Here is a 24,071-nt window from a genome sequence, read left to right on the forward strand (position 1 = left end):
GGGATCATCTTCACATAAAAACTAAACAGAAGCATTCTCGGAAACTATTTTGTGATGTTTGTATTCAACTCCCAGAGTTGAACTTTCCTTTTGAAAGAGCAGCTATGAAACACTCTTTTTCGAGAATCTGCAAGTGGACGTTTGGAGGGCTTTGAGGCCTGTGGTGGAAAAGGAAATATCTTCACACAAAAACCAGATAGAAGCATTCTCAGAAACTACTTTGTGAGGATGGCATTCAACTCATGGAGTTGAACAATCCTATTGATAGAGCAGATTGGAATCACTCTTTTTGTAGAATCTGCAAATGGAGATTTGGACTGCTTTGAGGCCTACGGTAGTACAGGAAGGAACTTCATATAAAAGGCAAACGGAAGCATTCTCAGAATATTCTTTGTGATGATGGAGTTTCACTCACAGAGCTGAACATGCCTTTTGATGGAGCAGTTTCCAAATACACTTTTGGTAGAATCTGCAGGTGGATATTTGGAGCTCTCTGAGGATTTCGTTGGAAACGGGAATAATTTCCCATAACTAAACACAAACACGCTGAGAAAGTTCTTCATGATGAATGCATTTAACTCGCAGAGATGAACCTGCCTTTGAGAGTTCAGGTTCAAAACACTCTTTCTGCAGAATCTGCAAGTGGATATTTGGACCACTGGCTGGCCTTCATTCGAAACGGGTATATGTTCACGGAAAAACTAAAGAGAAGCGTTCTCAGAAACTTCTGAGTGATGATTGCATTCAAGTCACACAGTTGAACCCTCCTTTTGATTGAGCAGTTTTGAAACTGTCTTTTTGTAGAATCTGTAAGTGTATGCGTCGACCTCTTTGAAGATTTCTTTGGAAACGGGAATATTTCCACAGAAAAACTAAACTGAAGCATTCTCAGAAACTGCTTTGTGATGTTTGTGTTCGAGCCGCAGAGTTTAACATTGCTTTTCATAGAGCAGTTTTGAAATATTCTTTTGGCAGAATCTGCAAGTGGACATTTGGAGCGCTTTCAGGCCTGTGGTGGAAAAGGCCTGAAAGCCTTTTCCTTTATCTTCACAGAAAGACGAGAGAGAAGCATTGTCAGAAACTTCTTTGTGATGATTGCATTCAACTCACAGAGTTGAAGATTCCTTTTGAAACAGCAGTTTCGAAACACTCTTTCTGTGGGATCCGCAAGGGGATATTTGGACCTCTTTGAAGGTTTCGTTGGAAACGGGATAATCTTCACCTAAAAGCTAAACGGAAGCATTCTCAGAAACTTCTTTGGGATGTTTGCATTCACCTCACAGAGTTGAACTTTCCCTTTGATAGCGCAGCTTTGACACACTTTTTCTACAATGTGCAAGTGGCTATTTAGCGGGCTTGGAGGATTGTGTTGGAAAAGGAAATATCTTCTCCTAAAAACGACATAGAAGCATTCTCAGAAACTGCTCTGTGATGATTGCATTCAACTCCCAGAGTTGAACATTCCTTTTGATAGAGCAGTTTGCAAACACTCTTTTTGTAGAATCTGCAAGTGGAGATTTGGACCGCTTTGAGGCCTGTGGTAGTGAAGGAAAGAACTTCATATAAAAACCAGACGGTAGCACTCTCAGAAAATTCTTTGTGACGATGGAGTTTAACTCAGGGAGCTGAACATTCGTTATGATGGAGCAGTTTCCAAACACACGTTTTGTAGAATCTGCAAGGGGATATTTGGACCTCTCTGAGGATTTCGTTGGAAACGGGATCAACTTCCCATAACTGAACGGAAGCAAACTCAGAACATTCTCTGTGATGTTTGTATTCAACTCACAGAGTTGAACCTTCCTTTGATAGTTCAGGTTTGCAACACTCTTGTAGTAGAATCTGCAAGTGTATATTTTGACCACTTTGTAGCCTTCGTTTGAAACGTCTATATCTTCACATCAAACCTAGACAGAAGCATTCTCAGAAAGTTTTCTGCGATGACTGCATTCAACTCACAGAGTTGAACAATCCTTCTGATGGAGCAGTTTTGAAACCCTCTTTCTTTGGAATCTGCAAGGGGATATGTGGACCTCTTTGAAGATTTCACTGGAAACGGGATCATCTTCACATAAAAACTAAACAGAAGCATTCAAGGAAACTACTTTGTGATGTTTGTATTCAACTGCCAGAGGTGAACTTTCCTTTTCAAAGAGCAGCTATGAAACACTCTTTTTCGAGAATCTGCAAGTGGACGTTTGGAGGGCTTTGAGGCCTGTGGTGGAAAAGGAAATATCTTCACATAAAAACTAGATAGAAGCATTCTCAGAAACTACTTTGTGAGGATGGCATTCAACTCATGGAGTTGAACAATCCTATTGATAGAGCAGATTGGAATCACTCTTTTTGTAGAATCTGCAAATGGAGATTTGGACTGCTTTGAGGCCTACGGTCGTATAGGAAGGAACTTCATATAAAAGGCAAACGGAAGCATTCTCAGAATATTCTTTGTGATGATGGAGTTTCACTCACAGAGCTGAACATGCCTTTTGATGGAGCAGTTTCCAAATACACTTTTGGTAGAATCTGCAGGTGGATATTTGGAGCTCTTTGAGGATTTCGTTGGAAACGGGAATAATTTCCCATAACTAAACACAAACACTCTGAGAAAGTTCTTCATGATGAATGCATTTAACTCGCAGAGATGAACCTGCCTTTGAGAGTTCAGGTTCGAAACACTCTTTCTGTATAATCTGCAAGTGGATATTTGGACCACTGGGTGGCCTTCGTTCGAAACGGGTATATGTTCACGTAAAAACTAAAGAGAAGCGTTCTCAGAAACTTCTGAGTGATGATTGCATTCAAGTCACACGGTTGAACCCTCCTTTTGATTGAGCAGTTTTGAAACTGTCTTTTTGTAGAATCTGTAAGTGGATGCGTGGACATCTTTGAACATGTCTTTCGAAACGGGAATATTTCCTCAGAAAAACTAAACTGAAGCATTCTCAGCAAACTGCTTTGTGATGTTTGTGTTCGAGCCACAGAGTTTAACATTGCTTTTCATAGAGCAGTTTTGAAATATTCTTTTGGCAGAATCTACAAGTGGACATTTGGAGCGCTTTCAGGCCTGTGGTGGAAAAGGCCTGAAAGCCTTTTCCTTTATCTTCACAGAAAGACGAGAGAGAAGCATTGTCAGAAACTTCTTTGTGATGATTGCATTCAACTCACAGAGTTGAAGATTCCTTTTGAAACAGCAGTTTCGAAACACTCTTTCTGTGGGATCCGCAAGGGGATATTTGGACCTCTTTGAAGGTTTCGTTGGAAACGGGATAATCTTCACCTAAAAGCTAAACGGAAGCATTCTCAGAAACTTCTTTGGGATGTTTGCATTCACCTCACAGAGTTGAACTTTCCCTTTGATAGCGCAGCTTCGACACACTTTTTCTACAATGTGCAAGTGGCTATTTAGCGGGCTTGGAGGACTGTGTTGGAAAAGGAAATATCTTCTCCTAAAAACGACATAGAAGCATTCTCAGAAACTGCTCTGTGATGATTGCATTCAACTCCCAGAGTTGAACATTCCTTTTGATAGAGCAGTTTGCAAACACTCTTTTTGTAGAATCTGCAAGTGGAGATTTGGACCGCTTTGAGGCCTGTGGTAGTGAAGGAAAGAACTTCATATAAAAACCAGACGGTAGCACTCTCAGAAAATTCTTTGTGACGATGGAGTTTAACTCAGGGAGCTGAACATTCGTTATGATGGAGCAGTTTCCAAACACACGTTTTGTAGAATCTGCGAGGGGATATTTGGACCTCTCTGAGGATTTCGTTGGAAACGGGATCAACTTCCCATAACTGAACGGAAGCAAACTCAGAACATTCTTTGTGATGTTTGTATTCAACTCACAGAGTTGAACCTTCCTTTGATAGTTCAGGTTTGCAACACCCTTGTAGTAGAATCTGCAAGTGTATATTTTGACCACTTTGTAGCCTTCGTTTGAAACATGCTATATCTTCACATCAAACCTAGACAGAAGCATTCTCAGAAAGTTTTCTGCGATGACTGCATTCAACTCACAGAGTTGAACAATCCTTTTGATGGAGCAGTTTTGAAACCCTCTTTCTTTGGAATCTGCAAGGGGATATGTGGACCTCTTTGAAGATTTCACTGGAAACGGGATCATCTTCACATAAGAACTAAACAGAAGCATTCTCGGAAACTACTTTGTGATGTTTGTATTCAACTCCCAGAGTTGAACTTTCCTTTTGAAAGAGCAGCTATGAAACACTCTTTTTCGAGAATCTGCAAGTGGACGTTTGGAGGGCTTTGAGGCCTGTGGTGGAAAAGGAAATATCTTCACATAAAAACTAGATAGAAGCATTCTCAGAAACGACTTTGTGAGGATGGCATTCAACTCATGGAGTTGAACAGTCCTATTGATAGAGCAGATTGGAATCACTCTTTTTGTAGAATCTGCAAATGGAGATTTGGACTGCTTTGAGGCCTACGGTAGTATAGGAAGGAACTTCATATAAAAGGCAAACGGAAGCATTCTCAGAATATTCTTTGTGATGATGGAGTTTCACTCACAGAGCTGAACATTCCTGTTGATGGAGCAGTTTCCAAATACACTTTTGGTAGAATCTGCAGGTGGATATTTGGAGCTCTCTGAGGATTTCGTTGGAAACGGGAATAATTTCCCATAACTAAACACAAACACGCTGAGAAAGTTCTTCATGATGAATGCATTTAACTCGCAGAGATGAACCTGCCTTTGAGAGTTCAGGTTCGAAACACTCTTTCTGTGGAATCTGCAAGTGGATATTTGGACCACTGGCTGGCCTTCATTCCAAACGGGTATATGTTCACGTAAAAACTAAAGAGAAGCGTTCTCAGAAACTTCTGAGTGATGATTGCATTCAAGTCACACAGTTGAACCCTCCTTTTGATTGAGCAGTTTTGAAACTGTCTTTTTGTAGAATCTGTAAGTGGATGCGTGGACCTCTTTTGAAGATTTCTTTGGAAACGGGAATATTTCCACAGAAAAACTAAACTGAAGTATTCTCAGAAACTGCTTTGTGATGTTTGTGTTCGAGCCACAGAGTTTAACATTGCTTTTCATAGAGCAGTTTTGTAATATTCTTTTCGCAGAATCTGCAAGCGGATATTTGGAGCGCTTTCAGGCCTGTGGTGGAAAAGGCCTGAAAGCCTTTTCCTTTATCTTCACAGAAAGACGAGAGAGAAGCATTGTCAGAAACTTCTTTGTGATGATTGCATTCAACTCACAGAGTTGAAGATTCCTTTTGAAACAGCAGTTTCGAAACACTCTTTCTGTGGGATCCGCAAGGGGATATTTGGACCTCTTTGAAGATTTCGTTGGAAACGGGATAATCTTCACCTAAAAGCTAAACGGAAGCATTCTCAGAAACTTCTTTGGGATGTTTGCATTCACCTCACAGAGTTGAACTTTCCCTTTGATAGCGCAGCTTTGACACACTTTTTCTACAATGTGCAAGTGGCTATTTAGCGGGCTTGGAGGACTGTGTTGGAAAAGGAAATATCTTCTCCTAAAAACGACATAGAAGCATTCTCAGCAAACTGCTCTGTGATGATTGCATTCAACTCCCAGGAGTTGAACATTCCTTTTGATAGAGCAGTTTGCAAACACTCTTTTTGTAGAATCTGCAAGTGGAGATTTGGACCGCTTTGAGGCCTGTGGTAGTAAAGGAAAGAACTTCATATAAAAACTAGACGGTAGCACTCTCAGAAAATTCTTTGTGACGATGGAGTTTAACTCAGGGAGCTGAACATTCGTTATGATGGAGCAGTTTCCAAACACACGTTTTGTAGAATCTGCAAGGGGATATTTGGACCTCTCTGAGGATTTCGTTGGAAACGGGATCAACTTCCCATAACTGAACGGAAGCAAACTCAGAACATTCTTTGTGATGTTTGTATTCAACTCACAGAGTTGAACCTTCCTTTGATAGTTCAGGTTTGCAACACCCTTGTAGTAGAATCTGCAAGTGTATATTTTGACCACTTTGTAGCCTTCGTTTGAAAGTTCTATATCTTCACATGAAACCTAGACAGAAGCATTCTCAGAAAGTTTTCTGCGATGACTGCATTCAACTCACAGAGTTGAACAATCCTTCTGATGGAGCAGTTTTGAAACCCTCTTTCTTTGGAATCTGCAAGGGGATATGTGGACCTCTTTGAAGATTTCACTGGAAACGGGATCATCTTCACATAAAAACTAAACAGAAGCATTCTCGGAAACTACTTTGTGATGTTTGTATTCAACTCCCAGAGTTGAACTTTCCTTTTGAAAGAGCAGCTATGAAACACTCTTTTTCGAGAATCTGCAAGTGGACGTTTGGAGGGCTTTGAGGCCTGTGGTGGAAAAGGAAATATCTTCACACAAAAACCAGATAGAAGCATTCTCAGAAACTACTTTGTGAGGATGGCATTCAACTCATGGAGTTGAACAATCCTATTGATAGAGCAGATTGGAATCACTCTTTTTATAGAATCTGCAAATGGAGATTTGGACTGCTTTGAGGCCTACGGTAGTACAGGAAGGAACTTCATATAAAAGGCAAACGGAAGCATTCTCAGAATATTCTTTGTGATGATGGAGTTTCACTCACAGAGCTGAACATGCCTTTTGATGGAGCAGTTTCCAAATACACTTTTGGTAGAATCTGCAGGTGGATATTTGGAGCTCTCTGAGGATTTCGTTGGAAACGGGGAATAATTTCCCATAACTAAACACAAACACTCTGAGAAAGTTCTTCATGATGAATGCATTTAACTCGCAGAGATGAACCTGCCTTTGAGAGTTCAGGTTCGAAACACTCTTTCTGTAGAATCTGCAAGTGGATATTTGGACCACTGGGTGGCCTTCGTTCGAAACGGGTATATGTTCACGTAAAAACTAAAGAGAAGCATTCTCAGAAACTTCTGAGTGATGATTGCATTCAAGTCACACAGTTGAACCCTCCTTTTGATGGAGCAGTTTTGAAACTGTCTTTTTGTAGAATCTGTAAGTGGATACGTGGACCTCTTTGAAGATTTCTTTGGAAACGGGAATATTTCCACAGAAAAACTAAACTGAAGTATTCTCAGAAACCGCTTTGTGATGTTTGTGATCGAGCCACAGAGTTTAACATTGCTTTTCATAGAGCAGTTTTGAAATATTCTTTTGGCAGAATCTGCAAGTGGACATTTGGAGCGCTTTCAGGCCTGTGGTGGAAAAGGCCTGAAAGCCTTTTCCTTTATCTTCACAGAAAGACGAGAGAGAAGCATTGTCAGAAACTTCTTTGTGATGATTGCATTCAACTCACAGAGTTGAAGATTCCTTTTGAAACAGCAGTTTCGAAACACTCTTTCTGTGGGATCCGCAAGGGGATATTTGGACCTCTTTGAAGGTTTCGTTGGAAACGGGATAATCTTCACCTAAAAGCTAAACGGAAGCATTCTCAGAAACTTCTTTGGGATGTTTGCATTCACCTCACAGAGTTGAACTTTCCCTTTGATAGCGCAGCTTTGACACACTTTTTCTACAATGTGCAAGTGGCTATTTAGCGGGCTTGGAGGACTGTGTTGGAAAAGGAAATATCTTCTCCTAAAAACGACATAGAAGGATTCTCAGAAACTGCTCTGTGATGATTGCATTCAACTCCCAGAGTTGAACATTCCTTTTGATAGAGCAGTTTGCAAACACTCTTTTTGTAGAATCTGCAAGTGGAGATTTGGACCGCTTTGAGGCCTGTGGTAGTGAAGGAAAGAACTTCATATAAAAACCAGACGGTAGCACTCTCAGAAAATTCTTTGTGACGATGGAGTTTAACTCAGGGAGCTGAACATTCGTTATGATGGAGCAGTTTCCAAACACACGTTTTGTAGAATCTGCAAGGGGATATTTGGACCTCTCTGAGGATTTCGTTGGAAACGGGATCAACTTCCCATAACTGAACGGAAGCAAACTCAGAACATTCTTTGTGATGTTTGTATTCAACTCACAGAGTTGAACCTTCCTTTGATAGTTCAGGTTTGCAACACCCTTGTAGTAGAATCTGCAAGTGTATATTTTGACCACTTTGTAGCCTTCATTTGAAACGTCTATACCTTCACATCAAACCTAGACAGAAGCATTCTCAGAAAGTTTTCTGCGATGACTGCATTCAACTCACAGAGTTGAACAATCCTTCTGATGGAGCAGTTTTGAAACCCTCTTTCTTTGGAATCTGCAAGGGGATATGTGGACCTCTTTGAAGATTTCACTGGAAACGGGATCATCTTCACATAAAAACTAAACAGAAGCATTCTCGGAAACTACTTTGTGATGTTTGTATTCAACTCCCAGAGTTGAACTTTCCTTTTGAAAGAGCAGCTATGAAACACTCTTTTTCGAGAATCTGCAAGTGGACGTTTGGAGGGCTTTGAGGCCTGTGGTGGAAAAGGAAATATCTTCACACAAAAACCAGATAGAAGCATTCTCAGAAACTACTTTGTGAGGATGGCATTCAACTCATGGAGTTGAACAATCCTATTGATAGAGCAGATTGGAATCACTCTTTTTATAGAATCTGCAAATGGAGATTTGGACTGCTTTGAGGCCTACGGTAGTACAGGAAGGAACTTCATATAAAAGGCAAACGGGAAGCATTCTCAGAATATTCTTTGTGATGATGGAGTTTCACTCACAGAGCTGAACATGCCTGTTGATGGAGCAGTTTCCAAATACACTTTTGGTAGAATCTGCAGGTGGACATTTGGACCTCTCTGAGGATTTCGTTGGGAACGGGAATAATTTCCCATAACTAAACACAAACACGCTGAGAAAGTTCTTCATGATGAATGCATTTAACTCGCAGAGATGAACCTGCCTTTGAGAGTTCAGGTTCAAAACACTCTTTCTGTAGAATCTGCAAGTGGATATTTGGACCACTGGCTGGCCTTCGTTCGAAACGGGTATATGTTCACGTAAAAACTAAAGAGAAGCATTCTCAGAAACTTCTGAGTGATGATTGCATTCAAGTCACACAGTTGAACCCTCCTTTTGATTGAGCAGTTTTGAAACTGTCTTTTTGTAGAATCTGTAAGTGGATACGTGGACCTCTTTGAAGATTTCTTTGGAAACGGGAATATTTCCACAGAAAAACTAAACTGAAGCATTCTCAGAAACTGCTTTGTGATGTTTGTGTTCGAGCCACAGAGTTTAACATTGCTTTTCATAGAGCAGTTTTGAAATATTCTTTTGGCAGAATCTGCAAGTGGACATTTGGAGCGCTTTCAGGCCTGTGGTGGAAAAGGCCTGAAAGCCTTTTCCTTTATCTTCACAGAAAGACGAGAGAGAAGCATTGTCAGAAACTTCTTTGTGATGATTGCATTCAACTCACAGAGTTGAAGATTCCTTTTGAAACAGCAGTTTCGAAACACTCTTTCTGTGGGATCCGCAAGGGGATATTTGGACCTCTTTGAAGATTTCGTTGGAAACGGGATAATCTTCACCTAAAAGCTAAACGGAAGCATTCTCAGAAACTTCTTTGGGATGTTTGCATTCACCTCACAGAGTTGAACTTTCCCTTTGATAGCGCAGCTTTGACACACTTTTTCTACAATGTGCAAGTGGATATTTAGCGGGCTTGGAGGACTGTGTTGGAAAAGGAAATATCTTCTCCTAAAAACGACATAGAAGCATTCTCAGAAACTGCTCTGTGATGATTGCATTCAACTCCCAGAGTTGAACATTCCTTTTGATAGAGCGGTTTGGAAACACTCTTTTTGTAGAATCTGCAAGTGGAGATTTGGACCGCTTTGAGGCCTGTGTTAGTAAAGGAAACAACTTCATATAAAAACTAGACGGTAGCACTCTCAGAAATCTCTCTGTGACGATGGAGTTTAACTCTGGGAGCTGAACATTCGTTATGATGGAGCAGTTTCCAAACACACGTTTTGTAGAATCTGCAAGGGGATATTTGGACCTCTCTGAGGATTTCGTTGGAAACGGGATCAACTTCCCATAACTGAACGGAAGCAAACTCAGAACATTCTCTGCGATGTTTGTATTCAACCCACAGAGTTGAACCTTCCTTTGATAGTTCAGGTTTGCAACACCCTTTTAGTACAATCTGCAAGTGTATATTTTGACCACTTTGTAGCCTTCGTTTGAAACGTCTATATCTTCACATCAAACCTAGACAGAAGCATTCTCAGAAAGTTTTCTGCGATGACTGCATTCAACTCACAGAGTTGTACAATCCTTTTGATGGAGCAGTTTTGAAACCCTCTTTCTTTGGAATCTGCAAGGGGATATGTGGACCTCTTTGAAGATTTCCCTGGAAACGGGATCATCTTCACATAAGAACTAAACAGAAGCATTCTCGGAAACTACTTTGTGATGTTTGTATTCAACTCCCAGAGTTGAACTTTCCTTTTGAAAGAGCAGCTATGAAACACTCTTTTTCGAGAATCTGCAAGTGGACGTTTGGAGGGCTTTGAGGCCTGTGGTGGAAAAGGAAATATCTTCACATAAAAACTAGATAGAAGCATTCTCAGAAACGACTTTGTGAGGATGGCATTCAACTCATGGAGTTGAACAATCCCATTGAGAGAGCAGATTGGAATCACTCTTTTTGTAGAATCTGCAAATGGAGATTTGGACTGCTTTGGGGCCTACGGTAGTATAGGAAGGAACTTCATATAAAAGGCAAACGGAAGCATTCTCAGAATATTCTTTGTGATGATGGAGTTTCACTCACAGAGCTGAACATGCCTTTTGATGGAGCAGTTTCCAAATACACTTTTGGTAGAATCTGCAGGTGGATATTTGGACCTCTCTGAGGATTTCGTTGGAAACGGGAATAATTTCCCATAACTAAACACAAACACTCTGAGAAAGTTCTTCATGATGAATGCATTTAACTCGCAGAGATGAACTTGCCTTTGAGAGTTCAGGTTCGAAACACTCTTTCTGTAGAATCTGCAAGTGGATATTTGGACCACTGGCTGGCCTTCGTTCGAAACGGGTATATGTTCACGTAAAAACTAAAGAGAAGCATTCTCAGAAACTTCTGAGTGATGATTGCATTCAAGTCACACAGTTGAACCCGCCTTTTGATTGAGCAGTTTTGAAACTGTCTTTTTGTAGAATCTGTAAGTGGATACGTGGACCTCTTGGAAGATTTCCTTGGAAACGGGAATATTTCCACAGAAAAACTAAACTGAAGCATTCTCAGAAACTGCTTTGTGATGTTGGTGTTCGAGCCGCAGAGTTTAACATTGCTTTTCATAGAGCACTTTTGAAATATTCTTTTGGCAGAATCTGCAAGTGGACATTTAGAGCGTTTTCAGGCCTGTGGTGGAAAAGGCCTGAAAGCCTTTTCCTTTATCTTCACAGAAAGACGAGAGAGAAGCATTGTCAGAAACTTCTTTGTGATGATTGCATTCAACTCACAGAGTTGAAGATTCCTTTTGAAACAGCAGTTTCGAAACACTCTTTCTGTGGGATCCGCAAGGGGATATTTGGACCTCTTAGAAGGTTTCGTTGGAAACGGGATTATCTTCACCTAAAAGCTAAACGGAAGCATTCTCAGAAACTTCTTTGGGATGTTTGCATTCACCTCACAGAGTTGAACTTTCCCTTTGATAGCGCAGCTTCGACACACTTTTTCTACAATGTGCAAGTGGCTATTTAGCGGGCTTGGAGGACTGTGTTGGAAAAGGAAATATCTTCTCCTAAAAACGACATAGAAGCATTCTCAGAAACTGCTCTGTGATGATTGCATTCAACTCCCAGAGTTGAACATTCCTTTTGATAGAGCAGTTTGCAAACACTCTTTTTGTAGAATCTGCAAGTGGAGATTTGGACCGCTTTGAGGCCTGTGGTAGTGAAGGAAAGAACTTCATATAAAAACCAGACGGTAGCACTCTCAGAAAATTCTTTGTGACGATGGAGTTTAACTCAGAGAGCTGAACATTCGTTATGATGGAGCAGTTTCCAAACACACGTTTTGTAGAATCTGCAAGGGGATATTTGGACCTCTCTGAGGATTTCGTTGGAAACGGTATCAATTTCCCATAACTGAACGGAAGCAAACTCAGAACATTCTTTGTGATGTTTGTATTCAACTCACAGAGTTGAACCTTCCTTTGATAGTTCAGGTTTGCAACACCCTTGTAGTAGAATCTGCAAGTGTATATTTTGACCACTTTGTAGCCTTCGTTTGAAACGTCTATATCTTCACATCAAACCTAGACAGAAGCATTCTCAGAAAGTTTTCTGCGATGACTGCATTCAACTCACAGAGTTGAACAATCCTTCTGATGGAGCAGTTTTGAAACCCTCTTTCTTTGGAATCTGCAAGGGGATATGTGGACCTCTTTGAAGATTTAACTGGAAACGGGATCATCTTCACATAAAAACTAAACAGAAGCATTCTCGGAAACTACTTTGTGATGTTTGTATTCAGCTCCCAGAGTTGAACTTCCCTTTTGAAAGAGCAGCTATGAAGCACTCTTTTTCGAGAATCTGCAAGTGGACGTTTGGAGGGCTTTGAGGCCTGTGGTGGAAAAGGAAATATCTTCACATAAAAACTAGATAGAAGCATTCTCAGAAACGACTTTGTGAGGATGGCATTCAACTCATGGAGTTGAACAGTCCTATTGATAGAGCAGATTGGAATCACTCTTTTTGTAGAATCTGCAAATGGAGATTTGGACTGCTTTGAGGCCTACGGTAGTATAGGAAGGAACTTCATATAAAAGGCAAACGGAAGCATTCTCAGAATATTCTTTGTGATGATGGAGTTTCACTCACAGAGCTGAACATGCCTTTTGATGGAGCAGTTTCCAAATACACTTTTGGTAGAATCTGCAGGTGGAAATTTAGAGCTCTCTGAGGATTTCGTTGGAAACGGGAATAATTTCCCATAACTAAACACAAACACTCTGAGAAAGTTCTTCATGATGAATGCATTTAACTCGCAGAGATGAACCTGCCTTTGAGAGTTCAGGTTCGAAACACTCTTTCTGTATAATCTGCAAGTGGATATTTGGACCACTGGGTGGCCTTCGTTCGAAACGGGTATATGTTCACGTAAAAACTAAAGAGAAGCATTCTCAGAAACTTCTGAGTGATGATTGCATTCAAGTCACACAGTTGAACCCTCCTTTTGATGGAGCAGTTTTGAAACTGTCTTTTTGTAGAATCTGTAAGTGGATACGTGGACCTCTTTGAAGATTTCTTTGGAAACGGGAATATTTCCACAGAAAAACTAAACTGAAGCATTCTCAGAAACCGCTTTGTGATGTTTGTGTTCGAGCCACAGAGTTTAACATTGCTTTTCACAAAGCAGTTTTGAAATATTCTTTTGGCAGAATCTGCAAGTGGACATTTGGAGCGCTTTCAGGCCTGTGGTGGCAAAGGCCTGAACGCCTTTTCCTTTATGTTCACAGAAAGACGAGAGAGAAGCATTGTCAGAAACTTCTTTGTGATGATTGCATTCAACTCACAGAGTTGAAGATTCCTTTTGAAACAGCAGTTTCGAAACACTCTTTCTGTGGGATCCGCAAGGGGATATTTGGACCTCTTTGAAGCTTTCGTTGGAAACGGGATAATCTTCACCTAAAAGCTAAACGGAAGCATTCTCAGAAACTTCTTTGGGATGTTTGCATTCACCTCACAGAGTTGAACTTTCCCTTTGATAGCGCAGCTTTGACACACTTTTTCTACAATGTGCAAGTGGCTATTTAGCGGGCTTGGAGGACTGTGTTGGAAAAGGAAATATCTTCTCCTAAAAACGACATAGAAGCATTCTCAGAAACTGCTCTGTGATGATTGCATTCAACTCCCAGAGTTGAACATTCCTTTTGATAGAGCAGTTTGCAAACACTCTTTTTGTAGAATCTGCAAGTGGAGATTTGGACCGCTTTGAGGCCTGTGGTAGTGAAGGAAAGAACTTCATATAAAAACCAGACGGTAGCACTCTCAGAAAATTCTTTGTGACGATGGAGTTTAACTCAGGGAGCTGAACATTCGTTATGATGGAGCAGTTTCCAAACACACGTTTTGTAGAATCTGCAAGGGGATATTTGGACCTCTCTGAGGATTTCGTTGGAAACGGGATCAACTTCCCATAACTGAACGGAAGCAAACTCAGAACATTCTTTGTGATGTTTGTATTCAACTCACAGAGTTGAACCTTCCTTTGATAGTTCAGGTTTGCAACAGCCTTGTAGTAGAATCTGCAAGTGTATATTTTGACCACTTTGTAACCTTCGTTTAAAACGTCTATATCTTCACATCAAACCTAGACAGAAGCATTCTCAGAAAGTTTTCTGCGATGACTGCATTCAACTCACAGAGTTGAACAATCCTTCTGATGGAGCAGTTTTGAAACCCTCTTTCTTTGGAATCTGCAAGGGGATATGTGGACCTCTTTGAAGATTTCACTGGAAACGGGATCATCTTCACATAAAAACTAAACAGAAGCATTCTCGGAAACTACTTTGTGATGTTTGTATTCAACTCCCAGAGTTGAACTTTCCTTTTGAAAGAGCAGCTATGAAACACTCTTTTTCGAGAATCTGCAAGTGGACGTTTGGAGGGCTTTGAGGCCTGTGGTGGAAAAGGAAATATCTTCACATAAAACTAGATAGAAGCATTCTCAGAAACTACTTTGTGAGGATGGCATTCAACTCATGGAGTTGAACAATCCTATTGATAGAGCAGATTGGAATCACTCTTTTTGTAGAATCTGCAAATGGAGATTTGGACTGCTTTGAGGCCTACGGTCGTATAGGAAAGAACTTCATATAAAAGGCAAACGGAAGCATTCTCAGAATATTCTTTGTAATGATGGAGTTTCACTCACAGAGCGGAACATGCCTTTTGATGGAGCAGTTTCCAAATCCACTTTTGGTAGAATCTGCAGGTGGATATTTGGAGCTCTCTGAGGATTTCGTTGGAAACGGGAATAATTTCCCATAACTAAACACAAACACTCTGAGAAAGTTCTTCATGATGAATGCATTTAACTCGCAGAGATGAACCTGCCTTTGAGAGTTCATGTTCGAAACACTCTTTCTGTAGAATCTGCAAGTGGATATTTGGACCACTGGGTGGCCTTCGTTCGAAAGGGGTATATGTTCACGTAAAAACTAAAGAGAAGCATTCTCAGAAACTTCTGAGTGATGATTGCATTCAAGTCACACAGTTGAACCCTCCTTTTGATGGAGCAGTTTTGAAACTGTCTTTTTGTAGAATCTGTAAGTGGATACGTGGACCTCTTTGAAGATTTCTTTGGAAACGGGAATATTTCCACAGAAAAACTAAACTGAAGCATTCTCAGAAACTGCTTTGTGATGTTTGTGTTCGAGCCACAGAGTTTAACATTGCTTTTCATAGAGCAGTTTTGAAATATTCTTTTGGCAGAATCTGCAAGTGGACATTTGGAGCGCTTTCAGGCCTGTGGTGGAAAAGGCCTGAAAGCCTTTTCCTTTATCTTCACAGAAAGACGAGAGAGAAAGCATTGTCAGAAACTTCTTTGTGATGATTGCATTCAACTCACAGTAGTTGAAGATTCCTTTTGAAACAGCAGTTTCGAAACACTCTTTCTGTGGGATCCGCAAGGGGATATTTGGACCTCTTTGAAGGTTTCGTTGGAAACGGGATAATCTTCACCTAAAAGCTAAACGGAAGCATTCTCAGAAACTTCTTTGGGATGTTTGCATTCACCTCACAGAGTTGAACTTTCCCTTTGATAGCGCAGCTTCGACACACTTTTTCTACAATGTGCAAGTGGATATTTAGCGGGCTTGGAGGACTGTGTTGGAAAAGGAAATATCTTCTCCTAAAAACGACATAGAAGCATTCTCAGAAACTGCTCTGTGATGATTGCATTCAACTCCCAGAGTTGAACATTCCTTTTGATAGAGCAGTTTGCAAACACTCTTTTTGTAGAATCTGCAAGTGGAGATTTGGACCGCTTTGAGGCCTGTGGTAGTAAAGGAAAGAACTTCATATAAAAACTAGACGGTAGCACTCTCAGAAAATTCTTTGTGACGATGGAGTTTAACTCAGAGAGCTGAACATTCGTTATGATGGAGCAGTTTCCAAACACACGTTTTGTAGAATCTGCAAGGGGATATTTGGACCTCTCTGAGGATTTCGTTGGAAAAGGGATCAACTTCCCATAAATGAACGGAAGCAAACTCAGAACATTCTTTGTGATGTTTGTATTCAACTCACAGAGTTGAACCTTCCTTTGATAGTTCAGGTTTGCATCACCCTTGTAGTAGAATCTGCAAGTGTATATTTTGACCACTTTGTAGCCTTCGTTTGAAACGTCTATATCTTCACATCAAACCTAGACAGAAGCATTCTCAGAAAGTTTTCTGCGATGACTGCATTCAACTCACAGAGTTGAACAATCCTTCTGATGGAGCAGTTTTGAAACCCTCTTTCTTTGGAATCTGCAAGGGGATATGTGGACCTCTTTGAAGATTTCACTGGAAACGGGATCATCTTCACATAAAAACTAAACAGAAGCATTCTCGGGAAACTATTTTGTGATGTTTGCATTCAACTCCCAGAGTTGAACTTTCCTTTTGAAAGAGCAGCTATGAAACACTCTTTTTCGAGAATCTGCAAGTGGACGTTTGGAGGGCTTTGAGGCCTGTGGTGGAAAAGGAAATATCTTCACACAAAAACCAGATAGAAGCATTCTCAGAAACTACTTTGTGAGGATGGCATTCAACTCATGGAGTTGAACAATCCTATTGATAGAGCAGATTGGAATCACTCTTTTTATAGAATCTGCAAATGGAGATTTGGACTGCTTTGAGGCCTACGGTAGTACAGGAAGGAACTTCATATAAAAGGCAAACGGAAGCATTCTCAGAATATTCTTTGTGATGATGGAGTTTCACTCACAGAGCTGAACATGCCTTTTGATGGAGCAGTTTCCAAATACACTTTTGGTAGAATCTGCAGGTGGATATTTGGAGCTCTCCTGAGGATTTCGTTGGAAACGGGAATAATTTCCCATAACTAAACACAAAACACGCTGAGAAAGTTCTTCATGATGAATGCATTTAACTCGCAGAGATGAACCTGCCTTTGAGAGTTCAGGTTCGAAACACTCTTTCTGTAGAATCTGCAAGTGGATATTTGGACCACTGGCTGGCCTTCGTTCGAAACGGGTATATGTTCACGTAAAAACTAAAGAGAAGCGTTCACAGAAACTTCTGAGTGATGATTGCATTCAAGTCACACAGTTGAACCCTCGTTTTGATTGAGCAGTTTTGAAACTGTCTTTTTGTAGAATCTGTAAGTGGATGCGTGGACCTCTTTGAAGATTTCTTTGGAAACGGGAATATTTCCACAGAAAAACTAAACTGAAGCATTCTCAGAAACTGCTTTGTGATGTTTGTGTTCGAGCCACAGAGTTTAACATTGCTTTTCATAGAGCAGTTTTGAAATATTCTTTTGGCAGAATCTGCAAGTGGACATTTGGAGCGCTTTCAGGCCTGTGGTGGAAAAGGCCTGAAAGCCTTTTCCTTTATCTTCACAGAAAGACGAGAGAGAAGCATTGTCAGAAACTTCTTTGTGATGATTGCATTCAACTCACAGAGTTGATTTTCCTTTTGAAACAGCAGTTTCGAAACACTCTTTCTGTGGGATCCGCAAGGGGATATTTGGACCTCTTTGAAGATTTCGTTGGAAACGGGATAATCTTCACCTAAAAGCTAAACGGAAGCATTCTCAGAAACTTCTTTGGGATGTTTGCATTCACCTCACAGAGTTGAACTTTCCCTTTGATAGCGCAGCTTTGACACACTTTTTCTACAACGTGCAAGTGGCTATTTAGCGGGCTTGGAGGACTGTGTTGGAAAAGGAAATATCTTCTCCTAAAAACGACATAGAAGCATTCTCAGAAACTGCTCTGTGATGATTGCATTCAACTCCCAGAGTTGAACATTCCTTTTGATAGAGCAGTTTGCAAACACTCTTTTTGTAGAATCTGCAAGTGGAGATTTGGACCGCTTTGAGGCCTGTGGTAGTGAAGGAAAGAACTTCATATAAAAACCAGACGGTAGCACTCTCAGAAAATTCTTTGTGACGATGGAGTTTAACTCAGGGAGCTGAACATTCGTTATGATGGAGCAGTTTCCAAACACACGTTTTGTAGAATCTGCAAGGGGATATTTGGACCTCTCTGAGGATTTCGTTGGAAACGGGATCAACTTCCCATAACTGAACGGAAGCAAACTCAGAACATTCTTTGTGATGTTTGTATTCAACTCACAGAGTTGAACCTTCCTTTGATAGTTCAGGTTTGCAACACCCTTGTAGTAGAATCTGCAAGTGTATATTTTGACCACTTTGTAGCCTTCATTTGAAACGTCTATATCTTCACATCAAACCTAGACAGAAGCATTCTCAGAAAGTTTTCTGCGATGACTGCATTCAACTCACAGAGTTGAACAATCCTTCTGATGGAGCAGTTTTGAAACCCTCTTTCTTTGGAATCTGCAAGGGGATATGTGGACCTCTTTGAAGATTTCACTGGAAACGGGATCATCTTCACATAAAAACTAAACAGAAGCATTCTCGGAAACTACTTTGTGATGTTTGTATTCAACTCCCAGAGTTGAACTTTCCTTTGGAAAGAGCAGCTATGAAACACTCTTTTTCGAGAATCTGCAAGTGGACGTTTGGAGGGCTTTGAGGCCTGTGGTGGAAAAGGAAATATCTTCACACAAAAACCAGATAGAAGCATTCTCAGAAACTACTTTGTGAGGATGGCATTCAACTCATGGAGTTGAACAATCCTATTGATAGAGCAGATTGGAATCACTCTTTTTATAGAATCTGCAAATGGAGATTTGGACTGCTTTGAGGCCTACGGTAGTACAGGAAGGAACTTCATATAAAAGGCAAACGGAAGCATTCTCAGAATATTCTTTGTGATGATGGAGTTTCACTGACAGAGCTGAACATGCCTTTTGATGGAGCAGTTTCCAAATACACTTTTGGTAGAATCTGCAGGTGGATATTTGGAGCTCTTTGAGGATTTCGTTGGAAACGGGAATAATTTCCCATAACTAAACACAAACACGCTGAGAAAGTTCTTCATGATGAATGCATTTAACTCGCAGAGATGAACCTGCCTTTGAGAGTTCAGTTTCGAAACACTCTTTCTGTAGAATCTGCAAGTGGATATTTGGACCACTGGGTGGCCTTCGTTCGAAACGGGTATATGTTCACGTAAAAACTAAAGAGAAGCATTCTCAGAAACTTCTGAGTGATGATTGCATTCAAGTCACACAGTTGAACCCTCCTTTTGATGGAGCAGTTTTGAAACTGTCTTTTTGTAGAATCTGTAAGTGGATACGTGGACCTCTTTGAAGATTTCTTTGGAAACGGGAATATTTCCACAGAAAAACTAAACTGAAGCATTCTCAGAAACCGCTTTGTGATGTTTGTGTTCGAGCCGCAGAGTTTAACATTGCTTTTCATAGAGCAGTTTTGAAATATTCTTTTCGCAGAATCTGCAAGTGGACATTTGGAGCGCTTTCAGGCCTGTGGTGGAAAAGGCCTGAAAGCCTTTTCCTTTATCTTCACAGAAAGACGAGAGAGAAGCATTGTCAGAAACTTCTTTGTGATGATTGCATTCAACTCACAGAGTTGAAGATTCCTTTTGAAACAGCAGTTTTGAAACACTCTTTCTGTGGGATCCGCAAGGGGATATTTGGACCTCTTTGAAGGTTTCGTTGGAAACGGGATAATCTTCACCTAAAAGCTAAACGGAAGCATTCTCAGAAACTTCTTTGGGATGTTTGCATTCACCTCACAGAGTCGAACTTTCCCTTTGATAGCGCAGCTTCGACACACTTTTTCTAAAATGTGCAAGTGGATATTTAGCGGGCTTGCAGGACTGTGTTGGAAAAGGAAATATCTTCTCCTAAAAACCACATAGAAGCATTCTCAAGAACTGCTCTGTGATGATTGCATTCAACTCCCAGAGTTGAACATTCCTTTTGATAGAGCAGTTTGCAAACACTCTTTTTGTAGAATCTGCAAGTGGAGATTTGGACCGCTTTGAGGCCTGTGGTAGTAAAGGAAAGAACTTCATATAAAAACTAGACGGTAGCACTCTCAGAAAATTCTTTGTGACGATGGAGTTTAACTCAGAGAGCTGAACATTCGTTATGATGGAGCAGTTTCCAAACACACGTTTTGCAGAATCTGCAAGGGGATATTTGGACCTCTCTGAGGATTTCGTTGGAAACGGGATCAACTTCCCATAACTGAACGGAAGCAAACTCAGAACATTCTTTGTGATGTATGTTTGTATTCAACTCACAGAGTTGAACCTTCCTTTGAGAGTTCAGGTTTGCAACACCCTTGTAGTAGAATCTGCAAGAGTATATTTTGACCACTTTGTAGCCTTCGTTTGAAACGTCTATATCTTCACATCAAACCTAGACAGAAGCATTCTCAGAAAGTTTTCTGCGATGACTGCATTCAACTCACAGAGTTGAACAATCCTTTTGATGGAGCAGTTTTGAAACCCTCTTTCTTTGGAATCTGCAAGGGGATATGTGGACCTCTTTGAAGATTTCACTGGAAACGGGATCATCTTCACATAAGAACTAAACAGAAGCATTCTCGGAAACTACTTTGTGATGTTTGTATTCAACTCCCAGAGTTGAACTTTCCTTGTGAAAGAGCAGCTATGAAACACTCTTTTTCGAGAATCTGCAAGTGGACGTTTGGAGGGCTTTGAGGCCTGTGGTGGAAAAGGAAATATCTTCACATAAAAACTAGATAGAAGCATTCTCAGAAACGACTTTGTGAGGATGGCATTCAACTCATGGAGTTGAACAATCCTATTGATAGAGCAGATTGGAATCACTCTTTTTGTAGAATCTGCAAATGGAGATTTGGACTGCTTTGAGGCCTACGGTAGTATAGGAAGGAACTTCATATAAAAGGCAAACGGAAGCATTCTCAGAATATTCTTTGTGATGATGGAGTTTCACTCACAGAGCTGAACATGCCTTTTGATGGAGCAGTTTCCAAATACACTTTTGGTAGAATCTGCAGGTGGATATTTGGACCTCTCTGAGGATTTCGTTGGAAACGGCAATAATTTCCCATAACTAAACACAAACACGCTGAGAAAGTTCTTCATGTTGAATGCATTGAACTCGCAGAGATGAACCTGCCTTTGAGAGTTCAGGTTCGAAACACTCTTTCTGTAGAATCTGCAAGTGGATATTTGGACCACTGGGTGGCCTTCGTTCGAAACGGGTATATGTTCACGTAAAAACTAAAGAGAAGCATTCTCAGAAACTTCTGAGTGATGATTGCATTCAAGTCACACAGTTGAACCCGCCTTTTGATTGAGCAGCTTTGAAACTGTCTTTTTGTAGAATCTGGAAGTGGATACGTGGACCTCTTTGAAGATTTCTTTGGAAATGGGAATATTTCCACAGAAAAACTAAACTGAAGCATTCTCAGAAACTGCGTTGTGATGTTGGTGTTCGAGCCGCAGAGTTTAACATTGCTTTTCATAGAGCAGTTTTGAAATATTCTTTTGGCAGAATCTGCAAGTGGACATTTGGAGCGCTTTCAGGCCTGTGGTGGAAAAGGCCTGAAAGCCTTTTCCTTTATCTTCACAGAAAGACGAGAGAGAAGCATTGTCAGAAACTTCTTTGTGATGATTGCATTCAACTCACAGAGTTGAAGATTCCTTTTGAAACAGCAGTTTCGAAACACTCTTTCTGTGGGATCCGCAAGGGGATATTTGGACCTCTTTGAAGATTTCGTTGGAAACGGGATAATCTTCACCTAAAAGCTAAACGGAAGCATTCTCAGAAACTTCTTTGGGATGTTTGCATTCACCTCACAGAGTTGAACTTTCCCTTTGATAGCGCAGCTTCGACCCACTTTTTCTACAATGTGCAAGTGGATATTTAGCGGGCTTGGAGGACTGTGTTGGAAAAGGAAATATCTTCTCCTAAAAACAACATAGAAGCATTCTCAGAAACTGCTCTGTGATGATTGCATTCAACTCCCAGAGTTGAACATTCCTTTTGATAGAGCAGTTTGCAAACACTCTTTTTGTAGAATCTGCAAGTGGAGATTTGGACCGCTTTGAGGCCTGTGGTAGTGAAGGAAAGAACTTCATATAAAAACCAGACGGTAGCACTCTCAGAAAATTCTTTGTGACGATGGAGTTTAACTCAGAGAGCTGAACATTCGTTATGATGGAGCAGTTTCCAAACACACGTTTTGTAGAATCTGCAAGGGGATATTTGGACCTCTCTGAGGAATTCGTAGGAAACGGGATCAACTTCCCATAACTGAACGGAAGCAAACTCAGAACATTCTTTGTGATGTTTGTATTCAACTCACAGAGTTGAACCTTCCTTTGATAGTTCAGGTTTGCATCACCCTTGTAGTAGAATCTGCAAGTGTATATTTTGACCACTTTGTAGCCTTTGTTTGAAACGTCTATATCTTCACATGAAACCGAGACAGAAGCATTCTCAGAAAGTTTTCTGCGATGACTGCATTCAACTCACAGAGTTGAACAATCCTTTTGATGGAGCAGTTTTGAAACCCTCTTTCTTTGGAATCTGCAAGGGGATATGTGGACCTACTTTGAAGATTTCACTGGAAACGGGATCATCTTCACATAAGAACTAAACAGAAGCATTCTCGGAAACTACTTTGTGATGTTTGTATTCAACTCCCAGAGTTGAACTTTCCTTTTGAAAGAGCAGCTATGAAACACTCTTTTTCGAGAATCTGCAAGTGGACGTTTGGAGGGCTTTGAGGCCTGTGGTGGAAAAGGAAATATCTTCACATAAAAACTAGATAGAAGCATTCTCAGAAACTACTTTGTGAGGATGGCATTCAACTCATGGAGTTGAACAATCCTATTGATAGAGCAGATTGGAATCACTCTTTTTGTAGAATCTGCAAATGGAGATTTGGACTGCTTTGAGGCCTACGGTCATATAGGAAGGAAATTCATATAAAAGGCAAACGGAAGCATTCTCAGAATATTCTTTGTGATGATGGAGTTTCACTCACAGAGCTGAACATGCCTTTTGATGGAGCAGTTTCCAAATACACTTTTGGTAGAATCTGCAGGTGGATATTTGGAGCTCTCTGAGGATTTCGTTGGAAACGGGAATAATTTCCCATAACTAAACACAAACACTCTGAGAAAGTTCTTCATGATGAATGCATTTAACTCGCAGAGATGAACCTGCCTTTGAGAGTTCAGGTTCGAAACACTCTTTCTGTAGAATCTGCAAGTGGATATTTGGACCACTGGGTGGCCTTCGTTCGAAACGGGTATACGTTCACGTAAAAGCTAAAGAGAAGCATTCTCAGAAACTTGTGAGTGATGATTGCATTCAAGTCACACAGTGGAACCCTCCTTTTGATGGAGCAGTTTTGAAACTGTCTTTTTGTAGAATCTGTAAGTGGATACGTGGACCTCTTTGAAGATTTCTTTGGAAACGGGAATATTTCCACAGAAAAACTAAACTGAAGCATTCTCAGAAACCGCTTTGTGATGTTTGTGTTCGAGCCGCAGAGTTTAACATTGCTTTTCATAGAGCAGTTTTGAAATATTCTTTTGGCAGAATCTGCAAGTGGACATTTGGAGCGCTTTCAGGCCTGTGGTGGAAAAGGCCTGAAAGCCTTTTCCTTTATCTTCACAGAAAGACGAGAGAGAAGCATTGTCAGAAACTTCTTTGTGATGATTGCATTCAACTCACAGAGTTGAAGATTCCTTTTGAAACAGCAGTTTCGAAACACTCTTTCTGTGGGATCCGCAAGGGGATATTTGGACCTACTTTGAAGGTTTCGTTGGAAACGGGATAATCTTCACCTAAAAGCTAAACGGAAGCATTCTCAGAAACTTCTTTGGGATGTTTGCATTCACCTCACAGAGTTGAACTTTCCCTTTGATAGCGCAGCTTTGACACACTTTTTCTACAATGTGCAAGTGGCTATTTAGCGGGCTTGGAGGACTGTGTTGGAAAAGGAAATATCTTCTCCTAAAAACGACATAGAAGCATTCTCAGAAACTGCTCT

General features: G+C 40.6%; 1 annotated feature.

Annotated features, from left to right (window-relative positions):
- Positions 1-24,071: part of a centromere (Linear centromere model derived predominantly from reads generated in PMID: 17803354. This region does not represent an actual centromere sequence, as long-range ordering of repeats and unmapped WGS contigs is not provided by the model. For details of model production, see http://arxiv.org/abs/1307.0035.) that runs on past both edges of the window.

Source organism: Homo sapiens, chromosome X (genome assembly GCF_000001405.40).
Source record: "Homo sapiens chromosome X, GRCh38.p14 Primary Assembly".
NCBI classification, from domain to species: Eukaryota; Metazoa; Chordata; class Mammalia; order Primates; family Hominidae; genus Homo; species Homo sapiens.